This window comes from Homo sapiens, chromosome 15, assembly GCF_000001405.40.
Source record: "Homo sapiens chromosome 15, GRCh38.p14 Primary Assembly".
NCBI classification, from domain to species: Eukaryota; Metazoa; Chordata; class Mammalia; order Primates; family Hominidae; genus Homo; species Homo sapiens.
The window spans coordinates 56,528,387-56,545,974 of record NC_000015.10 but is presented as its reverse complement, the minus strand read 5'-3'; the positions used below and the strand labels follow the sequence as shown (position 1 = coordinate 56,545,974).

Below are 17,588 nucleotides of genomic sequence, written 5' to 3'. Positions count from 1 at the left end.
ACATAGACCTAGGTGTAAAACTACAACTATAAACTTTTAGAGGAAAACATAGGTAAAAAATTTTGTAACCTTAGGTTAGTCAAATATTCATTAGATATGACACTAAAAGCACAATCCATTTTTAAAATAATAACTTGGACTTCACCACTATTAAAAACTTTTCCTTTTTAAAAATGGTAAGACAAACCACAGGCTGGGAAAAATACATGCAAATGATGTATCTAAAAATTGACACATATTCAGAATATATAAAGAAAACCTACAACTCAATAAGACAACACACTGGGCATGGTGGCTCACGTCTGTAATCCCAGCACTTTGGGAGGCTGAGGTGGGCGGGTCCCCTGAGGTCAGGCGTTCGAGACCAGCCTGGCCAACATGGTGAAACCCCATCTCTACTAAAAATACAAAAAAAAATTAGCCGGGCATGGTGGCACACACTTATAGTCACAGCTACTTGGGGAGGCTTAGGCAGGAGAATCTCTTGAACCTGGGAGGCAGAGGCGGCAGTGAGCCAAGATCACGCCACTGCAATCCAGCCTGGGCAACAGAGTGAAACTCCATCTGAAAAAAAAAAAAAAAGACAACACAACACAAAATGACTAAATGATTTTAATAGATATTTTATCAAAGAAGACATACAAATGACTAATAAGCATGTGAAAAATGCTCAAGATTTTTGGTTTCTGGTCCAACATGTGTAAAGCTTGGAAGTTATCACTTCCATCCTCACAATAAGAAGAAAGCTGAACAAATTGAAAATCAACAGCTCTTCTTAGATCCATCAGGTAATTGAGGCCACAGGGCAAACTGCTGCCCCTGAAATGGCAGAGACAGGTAAATACAGAGTATCACAGCATACTGGGAACAGAAGTTGCTACTGGAGACAATACTATAGATAATGGACTAACTGTTGGATATTGAGCCTTGGACTAGTTTGAGAGAACACTTCCTGGAGATCCAGCTTTAGGGATCATCAGTTTTACCTCTAGGAGTCCCATAAGGTTTTCAGGGTAAAGAACAGAGAAAAATCCCCTCATGCTCTGGTAGGGGAGATAAAGACGGGGAATAATCATTTTGAAATACACATAGAGCATTCTGTTCTCCTTAACAAAGGCTTGTTCTCAAGGGATCTATTTTAATAGTATCTAGCTTGTTTGAGTTTTACTAGACTCTAACTGACTCTGGAGAAGGAAAATACCCAACTTCAGCCTCCTCAAGGCTTTGATGTGGGAGAAAGAAACTATAAGACTCAGACACTATTTGAGAAGGAGTCTCTAGGGAAACCCGAAGACAACAGAGAAAAACAAGGACACTAGGGGAAATTTTATTCTTTCACACCTACTACAATAGCAATAGTAAACACAGTCTATATACTAATCAGATAAACATAAAGCCTCACATGAAAGGTCTGTTTACCACAGTACCATTTACTTGATACAGTATGTTTGGCTTTCAACAAAAAGTTACAAAGCATGCTAAAGGCAAAAAACAAACAAAAAAACCCCCATAGTCTGAAGAGACAAGCAAACCATATTCAGACACAGTAGATTTTGAAAGTATCAGAACATTAAAAATAACCATGATTAATATGCTAAGGTGCTAAGAGGTCTAATGAAAAAGTGGACAACAAGAAAGAATGGATGAGTTATATAAGCAGAGAGTTGGAAATGCTAAGAAAGAATAAAAGGAAATGCCAGGAAAGAAACCACTTGTAACAGAAATGAAGAGTGCCAGTAGACTAGATACAGTAGAGGAAAGAATCATTGAGCCTGAAGATATGTCAATAAAAATTTTCTAAACCAAAAAGCAAAGAGAAAAAAGAATTTTTAAAAATGGAACAGAATACCCAAGAACTATAAGACAATTACAAAGGGTGTAACTATATGTAACAGGGTTGCCAAAAGGAGAAGAAAGAGAAAGGAACAGAAGAAATATTTGAAGTAATGATGGCTGAAAATTTTTCAACATTTTCAAAACCACAGATCTAGAAAGCTAGGATAACACTGAGTAGGGTAAATACCAAAAATGCACACCTCCACATAATAATCAAACTGCAGAAAACTAAAGACAAAGAGAAAATCTAGAAAGAAGCCAGGGGAGGGAAATACACTTTACCTACAGAGGAACAAAAATAAAAATGACATTGGATTTCTTTTCAGAAACCATGCAAGCAAGAAAAGCATGTGGTGAAATATTTAAAGAATTGAAAGGAAAAAAAAATCTACCTAGAAGTTTGTACCCAGTGAAATTATCCTCCAAAAGTGAAGGAAAAATAAAGACTTTATCAGAAAAAAGAATTGATGTAGACCTACCTTGCAAAGAAGGATTACAAGAAGTTCTTCAGAGAGGAGGAAAATGGTGTAGGTCAGAAACTTGGGTCTGCATAAGCAACAGGGAGCATCAGGAAAGAAGTGTAAGTAACATAAAATATTTTATTTTTCATATTAACGGATATAATACATTGTTCAAAATAACAATGAAGCAATATATCTGATGATCACAGCTTATGGACAAATGAATGACAGCTGTATTATAGGGATGGGATGCCCTCCTCTTTCCTTTCCCTCTTGGGAAATGGTGAGGAGCCATTTAGATCATGGAAATGGTGAGGAGCCTCTTGGGAAATGGTGAGGAGCCATTTAGATCATGTGGACAGGGATGAAACGATGAGTAGAAGGAACCTGGGTCCCTAATGTTACAGATTACCATATGAGCTCTAGATATTATTTGAAGGTCCCCATTAGAATTAGCTGAGCCTCTACCTAGCAAATACAAGAGCCTAGTACCAGTAGAGAAGTGTGAGAGGAATCCCGAGTGTGCAGGGTTAAAGGGGGATCAGAGAATGAAGGTAGCTCAGGTGCACCATTCTCATCAGTAGGTTGTCAATAAAAGAGCCACGAGAGAGAGAGAAGAGAACTTGAAGAGACAATAAAGGACACAATTTGCTGCTTTCTGAATCACTGATGAATCTGAGTCAGTTAAGGTATAAATGCTTCAAAAATAAATAGTATGAATGGCAAGAATGGACTCTTGTTAAGTACTTTCTAATAGTAGAATTTGCATTTATTATAAACCTGCATCGATGTTGCACTTTTATCAAAATTAAAGCCATTAAGTCAAATAATCCTAGTTTAATTATGAATAAGAGATGTATTAATCAACTACTGTAAGTACATTGTCACATTATTTAAAGAAAACTAAAAAATCATTTTGACAAGGAGATCATGTGCCAAACTTAATAAACATAGCCAGGACAATTTGGGTTGCTTAAAGATTTTTAAAAACAAATTTGTATGGAGATTTTTGCAGCATGGATATGGATATAGATATAGATAAGTAGATATATATATATATGAAACAAGATCATTAGCAATGTTTAGGTCTGGTTTATGGGATTAGGTAATAAATTTTCTTTTTGTATTTTTTACATTTTTGATCTTTTTTTAAGTTCAAATCATGTTATTAAATTATTATTTTTTTAATTTTATTATTATTATACTTTAAGTTTTAGGGTACATGTGCACAATGTGCAGGTTTGTTACATATGTATATATGTGCCATGTCGGTGTGCTACACCCATTAACTCATTATTTAGCATTAGGTATATCTCCTAATGCTATCCCTCCCCCCTCCTCCCACCCCACAACAGGCCCCGGTGTGTTATGTTCCCCTTCCTGTGTCCATGTGTTCTCATCGTTCAATTCCCACCTATGAGTGAGAACATGTGGTGTTTGGTTTTCTGTCCTTGCGATAGTTTGCTGAGAATGATGGTTTCCAGCTTCATCCATGTGCCTAAAAAGGACATGAACTCATCCTTTTTTATGGCTGCATAGTATTCCATGGTGTATGTGTGCCACATTTTCTTAATCCAGTCTATCATTGTCGGACATTTGGGTTGGTTCCAAGTCTTTGCTATTGTGAATAGTGCTGCAATAAACATACGTGTGCATGTGTCTTTATAGCAGCATGATTTATAATCCTTTGGGTATATACCCAGTAATGGGATGGCTGGGTCAAATGGTATTTCTAGTTCTAGATCCCTGAGGAATCGCCACACTGACTTCCACAATGGTTTAACTAGTTTATAGTCCCACCAACAGTGTAAAAGTGTTCCTGTTTCTCCACATCCTCTCCAGCACCTGTTGTTTCCTGACTTTTTAATGATTGCCATTCTAACTGGTGTGAGATGGTATCTCATTGTGGTTTTGATTTGCATTTCTCTGATGGCCAGTGATGATGAGCACTTTTTAATGTGTTTTTTGGCTGCATAAATGTCTTCTTTTGAGAAGTGTCTGTTCATATCCTTCACCCACTTTTTGATGGGGTTGTTTGTTTTTTTTTCTTGTAAATTTGTTTGAGTTCTTTGTAGATTCTGGATATTAGCCCTTTGTCAGATGAGTAGGTTGCAAAAATTTTCTCCCATTCTGTAGGTTGCCTGTTCACTCTGATGGTAGTTTCTTCTGCTGTGCAGAGCTTCTGCACAGCAGAAGAAACTACCATCAGAGTGAACATTTTTGATCTTTTTTAAAAGAGGAAAAATAAATATTTAAAATTTATCATTCTTGGGTGTTTCTTAGAGTGGGGGATGTGGCAGGGTCATAGGATAATAGTGGAGAGAAAGTCAGCAGATAAACACATGAACAAAGGTCTCTGGTTTTCCTAGGCAGAGGTCCCTGCGGCCTTCCGCAATTTTTGTGTCCCTGGGTACTTGAGATTAGGGAGTGGTGATGACTCTTAACGAGCATGCTGCCTTCAAGCATCTGTTTGACAAAGCACATCTTGTACCGCCCTTATTCCATTTAACCCTGAGTTGACACAGCACATGTTTCAGAGAGCACGGGGTTGGGGGTAAGGTTATAGATTAACAGCATCCCAAGGCAGAAGAATTTTTCTTAGTAAAGAACAAAATGGAGTCTCCTATGTCTACTTCTTTCTACACAGACACAGTAACAATCTGATCTCTCTTTCTTTTCCCCACATTTCCCCCTTTTCTTTTCAACAAAACCACCATTGTCATCATGGCCCGTTCTCGATGGTCGCTGTCTCTTCGGAGCTGTTGGGTACACCTGCGGAAAGGATGTCACTTCACAGTTGGAAGATTGCACAGCTGCCGGGCAGAGGCACTCCTCACTTCCCAGACAGGGTGGCCGGGCAGAGGCGCTCCTCACTTCCCAGGCAGGGTGGCGGCTGGGCAGAGGCGCTCCTCACATCCCAGACGGGGCGGCCGTGCAGAGGCGCTCCTCACATCCCAGACGATGGGCGGCCGGGCAGAGGTGCTCCTCACATCCCAGACGATGGGCGGCCAGGCAGAGGGGCTCATCACATCCCAGACGATGGGCGGCCAGGCAGAGACGCTCCTCACTTCCTAGACGGGGTGGCAGCCGGGCAGAGGCTGTAATCTTAGCACTTTGGGAGGCCAAGGCAGGCGGCTGGGAGGTGGAGGTTGTAGCTAGCCGAGATCACGCCACTGCACTCCAGCTTGGGCAACATTGAGCATTGAGTGAGCGAGACTCCGTCTGCAATCCCAGCACCTCCGGAGGCCGAGGCGGGCAGATCACTGGAGGTCAGGAGCTGGAGACCAGCCCGGCCAATACGGCGAAACCCCGTCTCCACCAAAAATAGAAAAACCAGTCAGGCGTGGCGGCGCTTGCCTGCAATCCCAGGCACTCGGCAGGCGGGGGCAGGAGAATCACGGGAGCCCGAAGCAGGGAGGTTGCAGCCAGCCGAGATCAGGGCAGTACAGTCCAGCCTCAGCAACAGAGGGAGACCGTCAAAAGAAAGAAAACGAAAGAAAGAAAGAGAGAGAAAGAAAGAGAAGGAAAGAAAGAAAAAGAAAGAAAGAAAGGGAGGGAGGGAGGGAGGGAAGGAAGGAAGGAACGATTTTAAATTTAAAAGTCCTCTATCTCCTTTACTGTTAGTTGAAGGGAAACAGGTAGAAATAGTGGATATAAGAAAAGTGTGCGCTTGAAGTGCTTCGCTTTTGTAAAGGAAGAGGAGAAACACTTCCAAAGTCAAGGGTGTTGTTCAGCTATAAATGGGCCTTTGTCTGTGTTCATCTCTATTACTCCTGCCAAGGACAGGGATTTTCCATGTGATTCTAAGAGGATTAAAATGGTAAAAAAGAGTGACTGTGACAAGCTGAGATGTGCCTTTAGGATAACCAAAGGTCAGAAAAGGATTAAGTAAATGACCCAGCTGGAGAAGGTAGAGAAACACCCTATCAAGGAGAACCTGACATTCTGAGGACAAGAGTGTTTGCTCGGGAAGAGCTAAGGAGAATGACACTCAGGGTGTGATCCGGGGAACAGCCTCAGATCAGAGAAGTGGAGTCTGGACTACGAAAACCGGAGGTTTTTCTGTGAGGAGAACCCAGGGAGGCTGCTGGCTGAGCTGGCGGGAATGTGGAGAAGAAAAGCAAAGACAAGAACCTGCTCCTGAGGTCTGGAGGTTGAGGAGAAAAGGAGTGTGGGTGAAGTAGTAATCTCAGAGACTGAGGCTAAGAGGAGAAGTCTCTGGACTGAATAAAGGCACCGCCACTAGAGAAGAACCAGAAGGTCCCAGAGTGCGTTATATCAAAATACCGGGGAATTGTTCTTAACATTTGCTTCAACTGTGTAACTGTATAATGCACACACCTCAACTTCCCCGTTCTATAGGAAGTGATACTTGCGTATCAACACTACAGTGCACCCTGTTGGGAAAAGAAGCATTGTTGGTGACCAGTAAATGAGGAAAGGAAGGATACTAACTTCAGTAGAGGGAATGCTGTTTCACAAAATACAGCTAAGAATGTTATGCATGCAATGTTGTCTTTTAATTTTCACAGTAACCCTCTGCAGTCAGTAATATTATCCCTGCTTCACAGACCTGAAGAGAAAAGAGTTTACTAATGTGGTCAAGATGCTCAGCAAGCTTAAGTCTGGTTTGAGCCGAAGCCCTCACTTCCCACCTTACCATGCCCGTGAGCACTCTCTGATCTGACTTGGAAATGAAGAGTTAAATTTAGGTGAGTCAAAATAGATCATTCAAGTGGAGAATAACCTGGCATCCTTATTTCTAAAATGCATGATAAACTTTCAGTATTTTACCTAATTTCCTGAAGATTCCAAAGAGATACTTAATTCTCAAGACCCCAAAAAGCCAGAAGCATTCCATTCTCCAAATGAAAAAATTGCATGTAATATTTTTTAAATGGAGCATCATTATATTCATGCCATTAATGGAATTAGATATGCTCAGATACATAAGCAGTATGCACAGTGTCCACATAATGTCTCAGACACACTAATCTGAGAGGTTGAGGAAATCAAATATTGTTAAATATTATTTAGAGATGTACAAAGGTAGCTCTCGGAGAGGAAGCCATCAGTAGGTTTATAACAAGTCCATGTTTTTCTTTTCTATTTTTGTATTAGGGAATAGATGTTGATAATCAAGAAAGATTACTTGTTTCCAGGGTGAAGGGGGAGGGAAAAAGCAACCAATTACACTAAATCAGAAGTATCATTTTGGGGGGGGTGTAATAACTGATAGGATGATGAGTGTTTTATTTAAAGTTCCAACAAATAATTTTAAGGAGAATGTTTCATTAATTCATGTGGTCACTCAGTTTTCATTCTTTCCTTCCAGTGCCAGCACTGGTAAGTGTGAGAGAAAAATGAGTAGGACATGGTCCTTTCCTCACAGTGAGGGCAATAGATACACATGAGCTAACTACAGTGAAATATGATAGGCTTTGCAAGGACAGATGAGCAAAAGGCTGTGGGAGCCAGAAGAAGGGAAGCATCTATTGCACCAAGACCTGTGTGACTGTTAAAGCTCCCCAAAGGCAGAAGCCAGGCCCCAGCCCCTGGAGTGACTGCCAACATAGCAGCTGCGGAGCCGCGGTTACACCATTGTAGCAACAGCCAGAAAGCAAGATGAAGCCAGGCCCGGCAGCCTCATGGTTGTGGTTAACAGGTGTTGAAGCAAGTGTGAAGGAAGTGTGAGATCAAACCACAGCTGGGTTTGGAGAGATAAACCTCTCTTAAATGCATAAAGAAATAACCTAAGCAGGCAATGTTGTCACTTCACTGAAGTTTAAGTTTGTCTTCAAATTTATCAGGATCCCAAGGTTTTTCCCATGGTTTTTCTAAGCTTTGACACTTACCTGGGTTACAGCTCTAATTTGGAAAAGGACAGAAATGTTGAGAATCAAATGCCTGGAAGTGAAAGATGAACTTCTGCAAGAAAGTGGCTGGAGTATTCATTAGCACTTTGTTTGGAACTTTCTCACCTGCTAAGTCCTCATCTGCTTCTTCCCTTAAAAATTGCAATGCTTTATTCATTCATTCATTTGTTAATTAAGTATGTATGGAGCACCTACTGTGGACTAAACTTTGATGATTCATAGATGATTAAATGCCATCACTCCTCTCTGGGAGTTCATCTTAATGGGAAGGCAACACTCAATCCCAATATAAGGCAATAAATGTGTAAAACATATCCTGGAAACACGATGGAGGAACTGATTTACCTGCCCAAGAAAGATGTCATAGGAGAGAATATCTTTGAGCTTGGGTGTAAAAGATATGTAGGGATTTTCAAATAGGATGGCAAAGAGATTTTTTTTTAATTTAATTTTTATTTTGGAGAAAGGGTCTCACTCTAACATCTACATTGGAGTGCAGTGGCACAATCATGGCTCACTGCGGCCTTGACTTCCCAGGCTCAGATGATTCTCCCACCTCAGCCTCCCAAGTAGCTGGGACTACAGGCACATACCACGGCACCTTGGTAATTTTTTGTATTTTTTTTTTGGTAGAGATGGGGCTTTGCCATGTTGCCCAGGCTGGTCTCAAAGTTCTGAACTCAAGTGATTCGCCCGCCTTGGCCTCTCAAAATGCTAGGATTACAGGCATGAACCACCATGCCTGGCCCAGAGAGTTTTTAAAGAGAGAAAACAGCCTGAGCTAAGTCACGAACGCCCAGAATTGCATGGAGTATTCAAGAAAAGGGGCCAGCATTAGGTCAGGATTGGAGTAACAGAAGATGTGCTGGAAAGGCAGATTCGGACTACCCTTATAGAAAAGAAGAAACAAACAATTGTCTTAAAAGCTTTAGCCCGTCCCAACTTGTGGGTTCAGAGACAGTGGGGTTGCCTCTAGTTGACTTTAGCTTGGCTTTGACTTGTTGTTTACTAGCCGAATTTCTAAGACATAGTTTTGAAGCAGGCAAAGTACATACAGAATGTCCCATTGTCCCCTTTCTGCTTCATCCCTCTAAAGAGCACTCTTTGTCTCCAGACTTCTTTCTAGCTTCTTTTATTCTGTGATCTAACAGAGTCTGTCAGCTGGAGGCTCCCTTCCTCATGCCTTTACTCCAGGCTCAACTGAATCTGATAAACACATTAAAAAAAAAAAAAACAGAGTAGCTTCACTGTGTTACTTCTCAAGACAATACGTCTGACTCTCAGTAGAAGTGTTCAATATTTCACATAAACTAATTTTTAGATCTAGCAAGTATGTGCCTGTGTGTTTGCATATGTGGTTGTGAAGATTTTGAGGAGAAAGGAGAGCAGATGCTATTTGGTCTGCTGATGTCATCATCTGGATTCACACGTCACTGAGAGTGAGGAGCGGACCACCTCTGAGCTCCACCTTCTTACAAGTTAGTGTGGCCATGGCCCTAGTGTCCATAGTCTGATGTTGAATGGGGCTTCGATGTACAAGGTCAGTATGTTTCAAGTTTTTATAATAGTCCCTATTAAAGATGTAAATTACCCTACCAAAAAAACAAAAAATTTCATTCACGAAGTCCCACTCTATCCTGAAGAATCCATAGGCTTCCTACTTTGAGAATAATCAGTGTGCAATGGGCTACTTTGAACAAACTAAAGTGAGAAAACACAAATAGAGCTCTACATTTTATGATAGTTGTGTTGTCAATATTGATCAATGGCCTACAAACATAAATATCACTGTCATGATCTATGAAACCAAGGGTGCCTCCTGGACCCTAATACAGTCATGAGTCACTTAACAATGGGGATACATTCTGAGAAATGCATCGTTAGGCGATTTTGTCGTTGTGCAACCGTCACAGAGTGTACAGTACTGAAACAAACCTAGACGGTATAGCCTACTACACACATAGGATATATGATATGGCCAATTGCTCCTAGGCAACGAATCTGTACAGCATGTTACTGTACTGAATACTGTAGGCAATTGTAACACAATGGTAAATGTTTGTCTATCTAAACATATGTAAACATAGGAAAGGTACAGTAAAGGCAGAATATAAAGGATTAAAAATGGCACGCCTGTATAGGGCATTTACCATGAATGGAGGCTGTGGGACTGGAGGTTGCTCTGAGTGAGTGAGTGGTGAGTGAATGTGAAGGCCTAGGACACTACTGTACACTACTGTAGACTTTATAAACATTGTACACATAGGCTACACTAAATTTTTTTCTTTCTTCAATAGTAAATTAACCTAAACTTACTGTAACTTTTTTATTTTATAAACTTTTTTTAACTATTTGATTATTTTGTAATACTTAAAATACAAACACATTGTACAGATGTACAACAATATTTCTTTATATCCTATTCTATAAGCTTTTTCCTATTTAATGTTTCACTTTCTAAGCTTTTTTGTTAAAAACAAAGACACAAACACATACGTTATCTTAGGCCTACAAAGGGTCAGGATGATCAGTTCTACTGTCTTCCACCTCCACATCTTATGGTCTTCAGGGACATTAACATTCATGGAGCCGTCATCTCCTATGATCATGTCTTTTTCTGGAATACCTCCTGAAGGACCTGCCTGAGGCTGTTTTGCAGTTCCTTTTTTTTTAATAAGTAGGAGTATACTCTAAGACAATAATTTAAAAAGTATAGCATAGTAAACACATAAATCAGTAACACAGTTGTTTATTATCAAGTATTATGTCTGCACATAATTGTATGTGTTATTCTTTTTCACCGGCCAGTGCAGTAGGTTTGTTTACACTCGCATCACCACAAACGTGTGATTAATGTGTTGCACTAAGAAGTTACCATGGCTACAACATCACTAGGCAATAGGAATTTTTCAGCTCCATTATAATCTTATGGGACCACCATCATATATGCAGTCTGGCATCGAACCAAAACATTGTTATGTGGGATATAACTGTATTCTTGACTTACTCTAAATAGTAACTCACATATGGTCTGTTATAAGAGATACAGATTTCTAATATATTCTCCATGTTCTACTGAGGTTCTAGAGGATTTTGGGGTGAAGTGAGTGTTTAATATTATTGGTATGGCTAGAGGAATATATGTCTTTTAGTGCAAGCAAAACCCTGCACTATGATAGCTAAACAAGAGCCATTTGCCTTTCAGTGTGTATAGTCTGAACCTTTTACAGTCTCTAGTGGCAATGTTGGGAGGAAGAGTAAGAGATAATACTAATAAGCTCTGATCTTGCAGATGCAGAATTCTGGGGCAGAAATGACTATAAAAGGCTTTGCCAACTGGGGATCCAGGACTGGCACTCAAATTAAAAAGGGAGAGCATCTCTTTTTCTCTTTTTTGTGTGAACCTTTTCCTCTCTACAAATAAACTGAGGCCTAAGGTACTCTTTTCCCAGTTCTACTGTGGGTGTTTAGCTTCATGAGCAAAGGCAGATGAAGGATTTGGTTTAAACCAACATCTTAAGCAGGACAGCTGGGAACTCTTCCACACCTCCTGGGAAAGCTAAATATGGTAACATTCTCCCCAGGCCCTCACGGGGACTATGTCACAAAGCAGAGCTGGGTGTATTGTATAGGCCTTCATGACAAGCATCACAGTCTAGGCTTTGCCAAAGGTGGTGAGCTGCCTCCATGCAGTGCTGGGAAACAATTGTTGGAGGCTGTTGAAGGGGAGTCAAGAATTTTGAGCATTATTCTCTTCTCCTGAGCTGAACTCCTTGTCTTATTTGACAGTTGCTGTGTGCAAAACAGGTTAACCCATTGCATTGGGTAAATGAAAATCCAAACTGAGGGTGTGTAGAAGCATTTTCCATCTGTGACTCAGGCAGGGCTTTTGCATATTAGCACAGAGCTCAACGAGTAGCAAGAGGGTTGTTTGTGCTTGGGTTATGTTTGCTGTGTTCCAAAACTAAGACAAAATCTGGCCTCAGATCCCTGAGGTCTAACTAATCCAGTAATGAGCTGAGACAGTTTGCTAGGTGTTGTTTCCACCCAATTCCCAGACTGTTCTGTTCTGGGAAGATATTTTCTAAGTTGAAAATGGGGTAAATGTAATAGGCCCTGCTCAAAAATGACAAATCTCATTGTAAAATCATCTACAAATGAGTTGAGCTGGTGATGCCTTAAAACATTCCTCTGTTTCTAAAGTTATATTCAAGAGTCTTATTGTCAAGAAAACATGATAGGTTTATCAAATACCCTGTAGAATACTGTACTCGAAGTGCCTGCTTTATCTTATGCAATTTTTCTATTTAATCTGAGCTGTATATATGCTACTGCAGCTTCAAAACATCTGGGCACAGCAATTTTTTCTATCCTGCACCTGCAAGGGTAAGTACACACATAAACAAAAAAGAAATTAAATCTTCCGCAGAGCTGGGGTAAAAAAGAACCCAACCAGCCATGAAGCTCAAGGGAGCAGTATGACAAGTGCTGAGCTGTAAACAAGCTTGAGAGGGATTTAATTCTTATGACAAGTGCCAGTGGTGGCATCTCACATGGACTCAGCATATGCACACATTTCAGAGAGGAGCCACACAGGATTTAATGCAAATAGAAAAGAAAAAAAAAAAAGAAACAGCTCTCAGTGCATCAGCTTCTTCTCATCTATAAATAGCCAAGCAAATCAGGATGAGCTAATGTTGTAATTATCTTGATTTTCAGAATTTTTGCCACTCAGAAGAGATTTTTAGAGTCTCCTCCCTGCTCTTTATAATTATAGCTGCTGTTCCAACCTCTGCCAAGGGTTGGTGGTTGCAATGTGATATTTGCCAGGTGGCTGCTCTGCAGCACAGAAAATTACCAAGTTTCCTTGGTTTGTCCGGTTTTGTCTTGTAAGATCCAATTCAAAACTTCAGAGGGCAACAATTCATCATCTTGTGACAGCCACTTCTTCACTTTTCCTTGTAACTTCTAGACTCTGGCGCTGTGGGGTCTTCCTGTACTTGAGTAAATGACATGACTGAGATACCAGAGTAGCTATGCTTCACTTTGCACAGAATCACAGACACCGATGTTGGGAAAGGATTAGAAACCAAGCGTTGTGACAGCCCAGAAGCTGTATTCCTTCCAAACGTGGAATGCCATGTTTGCTGATTTGTATTTTCTTTGTGTGTTCAAGAACTACACTGCAGAGTAGGAAAGGAGGGTAGAGAATGATGATTAAAAACAGGGAGGTGGGATGGGAGATCCTGCTAGTTGCCTACCTAATATCCTTCTTCTCTCTCATATCAAGAGTTGGCAAACTCCAATCCACAAGCTAAATCTAGCCTTCTGGCTGCTTTGATAAATAAAGTTTAATTGGAACGCAGCCTCACATGTATTGCCTATGGCTGCTTTTATGCTACAAGATCAGAATTGAGTAGTTGTAACAGATGCTGTATGTTCTGCCAGGCCTAATATATTTACTATCTGGTCTTTTATAGAACAAGTTTGCTGACCCCTGTCTTATATTAACAGAACCCCATTTTGATGGTGGCAGCTGTGTGCCAATTTTTTAAAAGTCACTTTCTTGTAGCTAGGGGTAACCACATGATCCAGTCCTGCCTAATGAGATGCAATAGAAAGTGAACTTGGGGGAGGCCTCCAGGAAAACTACTGTTTGCCATATAAAGCCGGCACTGACCGCTGCCCTTCTCCTTTCTTTTTCTTTCTTGTGGAGTGGCTATGCTAACACTTTTTTGGGGGCATGGTTCCCACTTCTGGTGCCTGGTGGAAATGGTGGCTTTCTCATGACTGTGAGGATGAAAGTAACATCCCAAGGACATAAGTGGGAATGCGGGTTCTTAATGGCTTCCTTGAGTAGTTGCTTTAGTCCTGGACTGGTTAGCCCTAGAAAGATTAGCCCATTGGCTGACCCACCTACAAGGGTTTCTATACATTGTAAACAAATGGAATCCCAACTGAAAACTAGGCTGGTCTTGATGGTGTGAGTTACAGCAAACGGATGTCAGAAAAGGTAAGAAACTGCCCTCCCTGTCCTACTTCCGTGGAAACACTCTAGGTAAGATTAAAATCCCCAAGTCCTATAACGAAATTTCTATCTTCAGTGTTAGATGGTCACTTGAATCATTTTTAATGAACAATTCAAACTTTGAATGCAAATTGTCTATATTGTAAGAAGAAAGTTCCCTGAATTTCTTTCCTAAAAGTTATCTACTTTTGTGGCAGATACCTCCTTAAATATATTAGCTATTTTCAGTGGTCAATAGTAGCTTTATGTAATGGTGATAACTCCTTTTGACTTAGGTAAAAATGATTGTATTTAGGATGTGAGAATAGGTAGAATCAGGTGAATACTCTCTAGCTCTGAACATGAAAACTTTATGTTCATTCAATTTCTGAAGAGTTAAAAACCATTTCTGTGCGATTTCCACAGTTCTTCCCACAGTAATTCTCTTTTCCCTGCCCTCTTCTTCTTTCTTCTCTCCCCTAAGTTCCTGTGCTTGATGCTTTAGGGCATGGGCGTAGTGAGAGATTAGAGAAGGCTGGAGAGTGAGGACTTCATAAAATAATCAGTGCAATTTCTGCCCCTCACTTTATCATACACTGTTCAAACTGAATCCATTAATGGATTTTTTTGCAAAATATGATCATTGCAGTAACGAAATTGGTCCAGGCCAAAACAGCAGCTTTAATGGGGACACAGCCGAAGCCACCCTGCTGCCCCTACTGCTTTCTTCCCTGGGCCTCGGTAGAACAGCAAAGATTCTGAAAGAAAACTTTAAGTGCATGTTGTAATACTTAATCTTTTCTCATGAAATCCAAAGAAAATATGCACAGTGTCTATGGAAAATAATTCCTCCTTAGGGTCCTAAAAAGTCTGCAATCAATATGACCTCACCTTGTAAGAGATCTATGTTGATTTTTAAGATAGGAAATTTACTTCATTTTTAAATAACAAAATCTTTAAAAATAGTTTTATTTGGCCATTTGTATGACTGCTTCTATCTCACAGACATCCTTTAAGAAAGCATAAAATATACTTTGTTGGGGAGTATTAAGTTTAAACATTATTTGGTTATTAATGCTGTCTTGGTTTGATTGCTTTATACCAAAAATACAAGTAGTTGGTTTCACTCTTCATGGTTTTGTCTACAAATTATTACACACTTTTGGCTACCATGCTTGTGAAGTTTCAAAGCCAAGCAAATGTGGTTCAATTATAAAAAAGTGATCAGAATATATAAGGAAGTTGGTGTTTTAAATAATCATATTTCCACAATTCAAAGCAATCATTTTCTCTTCTTTTCTATCTTATGAATGACAGCAGATCCACCACACTCCCTCATCAGAAAAATGGCTCTAAAATGTAAGCACAGCCAATGATGGCTCAGCCTCCTCTCCACGCATCTGTGAAATGACAAAGTGGTCTGGAAATATTCCTGATTAAAAAAAAAAATTTAAAACCCTAGGGTTTAAGGGTTCTGAGTCAGGATGTAAATAAACTGTTTATTTTAAATAAAATCTGGGAATTTAGAAGAGCATGAGAACTTGCATCACTTGTGTAGGCAGAATTCCAAAATGGCCCTGAAGATTCCACCCTTTGGTGCACATGCCCTGTATAATCCTTCCCCTTGTGTGCAGGCAGAACCGGTGAATATGATGGGATATCACACATCCAGGAGACTAAGCAATGGACTTTTCATTAATCAAAAGGGAGATTTTGTGGGTGGGCCCTAGAGAGTGGAAGTGTGAGAGGGCTTGTGAGGGAGCCACATAGCTGAGACCTGAGGGCAGCCTCTAGGAGCTGAGGGCAACCCCAGCTGTTCCTCCACCAGCAGGAATCAGGGACCTCAGTCCTACAGCTGCAAGGAAATGAACTCTGCCAGCAACCCGAATGAACCTGGAAAAAGACCTCAAGCTCTAGGTGAGACCCTAGACCCAGCCAATACCCAGATTTCAGTCCAGTGAGATTGAGCAGAGGACCCAGTTAACCTGTGCCAGGATTCCTAACCCATAGAAACTGTGAGATAATAAATTTGTGTTGTTGTACGCTGCTAAGTTTGTGGTGATTTGTTACGCAGCGATAGAAATCGAATACAATCACACATCCAAAGCCTATCTTTGATAACACTTACAGCCAGGGACCTTCATATTCTATTTGTGGGGAAGAGATATCTCTCACTAGAACTTTTCTTCTGGGGTTGATGGTCTGTTGGATGAGTGTTGTACTTGGCAAGGATCCCATAAAAGTTCATAAGAATGACTTGATCGACAGTAAAATTCATCCATTCATTTATTCTTTTTAAAAAGATTTGAGTGCCTACTCCGTGATAGGCATGCTTCCAGGTATCATTTTATATGATGATGCTCAGTTTTTTTCTGTTTTCCCCTCTAGATACTATTTCCACTCTTCTGTGTCTTGGGATGCTCAATTTTGTAGACCACTCTATAGGGCTTCCATGTATTATGGATGAAAAAATGAAATAAACTAACAGGAAGACTAAAGTGTAGAAAGAGAGTGAATAAGTCAGGACATGTATTTCCCTGAGTTTTGCCCTATGGGAGAACTTTGAATTAGCTGCCTTTCTCCATCTTGTTGGTCTCTCTCTGAGCGGCCCCCTCCCCTTGTCCCAGTCCCTGGATGGTAAGGTCTCCCCACGTCACTAGTCCTGGTGTACTGCCCTCTCCCTGCTGGTATACCAAAACCTTCGCCATACCTTTATAAGCAGTTTCTTTATCAAACTTTCTCCATTTCTTTGACGTTTGAGCATGCTCTTTCCTACCAGTGCCTTGAGGATACAACACTAAACATCCCCCCTGAATACCGGGTATTTGGAGCCATTGGGTCAGGGGATTGGATTCTGGTGTCAGTTCATTTTCTACCTATCTACAGGAACATGGTCTTTCAGGAACACTGTTTTCTTATCTGTACAACGATAGAAGAATGTAAAGTATCTCTAAGGTTTCTATCAGGCCTCATAATCTATAAATTGGTAGGTGGGTTATAAAACTTACATTGTGTGATGTTTGGAGCAAATACAATTTCTTTACTTCTGACTGATCTGGACTTCCTCGTAAATATCAACCGCTCCATTGGAGACTATATTCAAGCCAATGCAATGAAATAATGTAACTATCCCTTTAGATAATACAAGGTAAAAATGTCCAGTCTCTTGAACTTCTTAGCTCAGTTTTTAGTCCCTTCTCCAGCTTCTCTCCAGCATGGTGTCTCGGCTCTGGAGGGTGGGCACTGACTTATGTTTTGTGACCTCCTAAGGAAAGGAGTTTCTCTCCTTTGACTTGCCTGTATCCTCAGGCTCCTCTGATTTCCAAGGCATTATTCCCTGTCTGCCTCCTTGCAGTGTGTTCTGTAGACTTTCATAAGGTCTAGGGCAAAGATTGGCAAACTTTTTCC

The 17,588-nt window shown here is 40.6% G+C and overlaps 1 long non-coding RNA gene across 2 annotated transcripts in view; it reads left to right on the top strand.

Moving 5' to 3' along the window:
• Nucleotides 1–17,588, top strand: part of LOC105370832 (uncharacterized) — a 126,090-nt gene that overhangs the window by 59,622 nt on the left and 48,880 nt on the right. Inside the window, exons 4-5 of one of the 2 annotated variants that reach the window (XR_002957754.1) lie at nucleotides 2,163–2,416; nucleotides 2,879–3,388. The exons of the other annotated variant lie outside the window; for it this stretch is intronic. This is a non-coding gene — a long non-coding RNA (uncharacterized LOC105370832). Of the gene's footprint in view, nucleotides 1–2,162; nucleotides 2,417–2,878; nucleotides 3,389–17,588 lie in introns of those variants that run through there. 2 annotated transcript variants of the gene reach the window in all.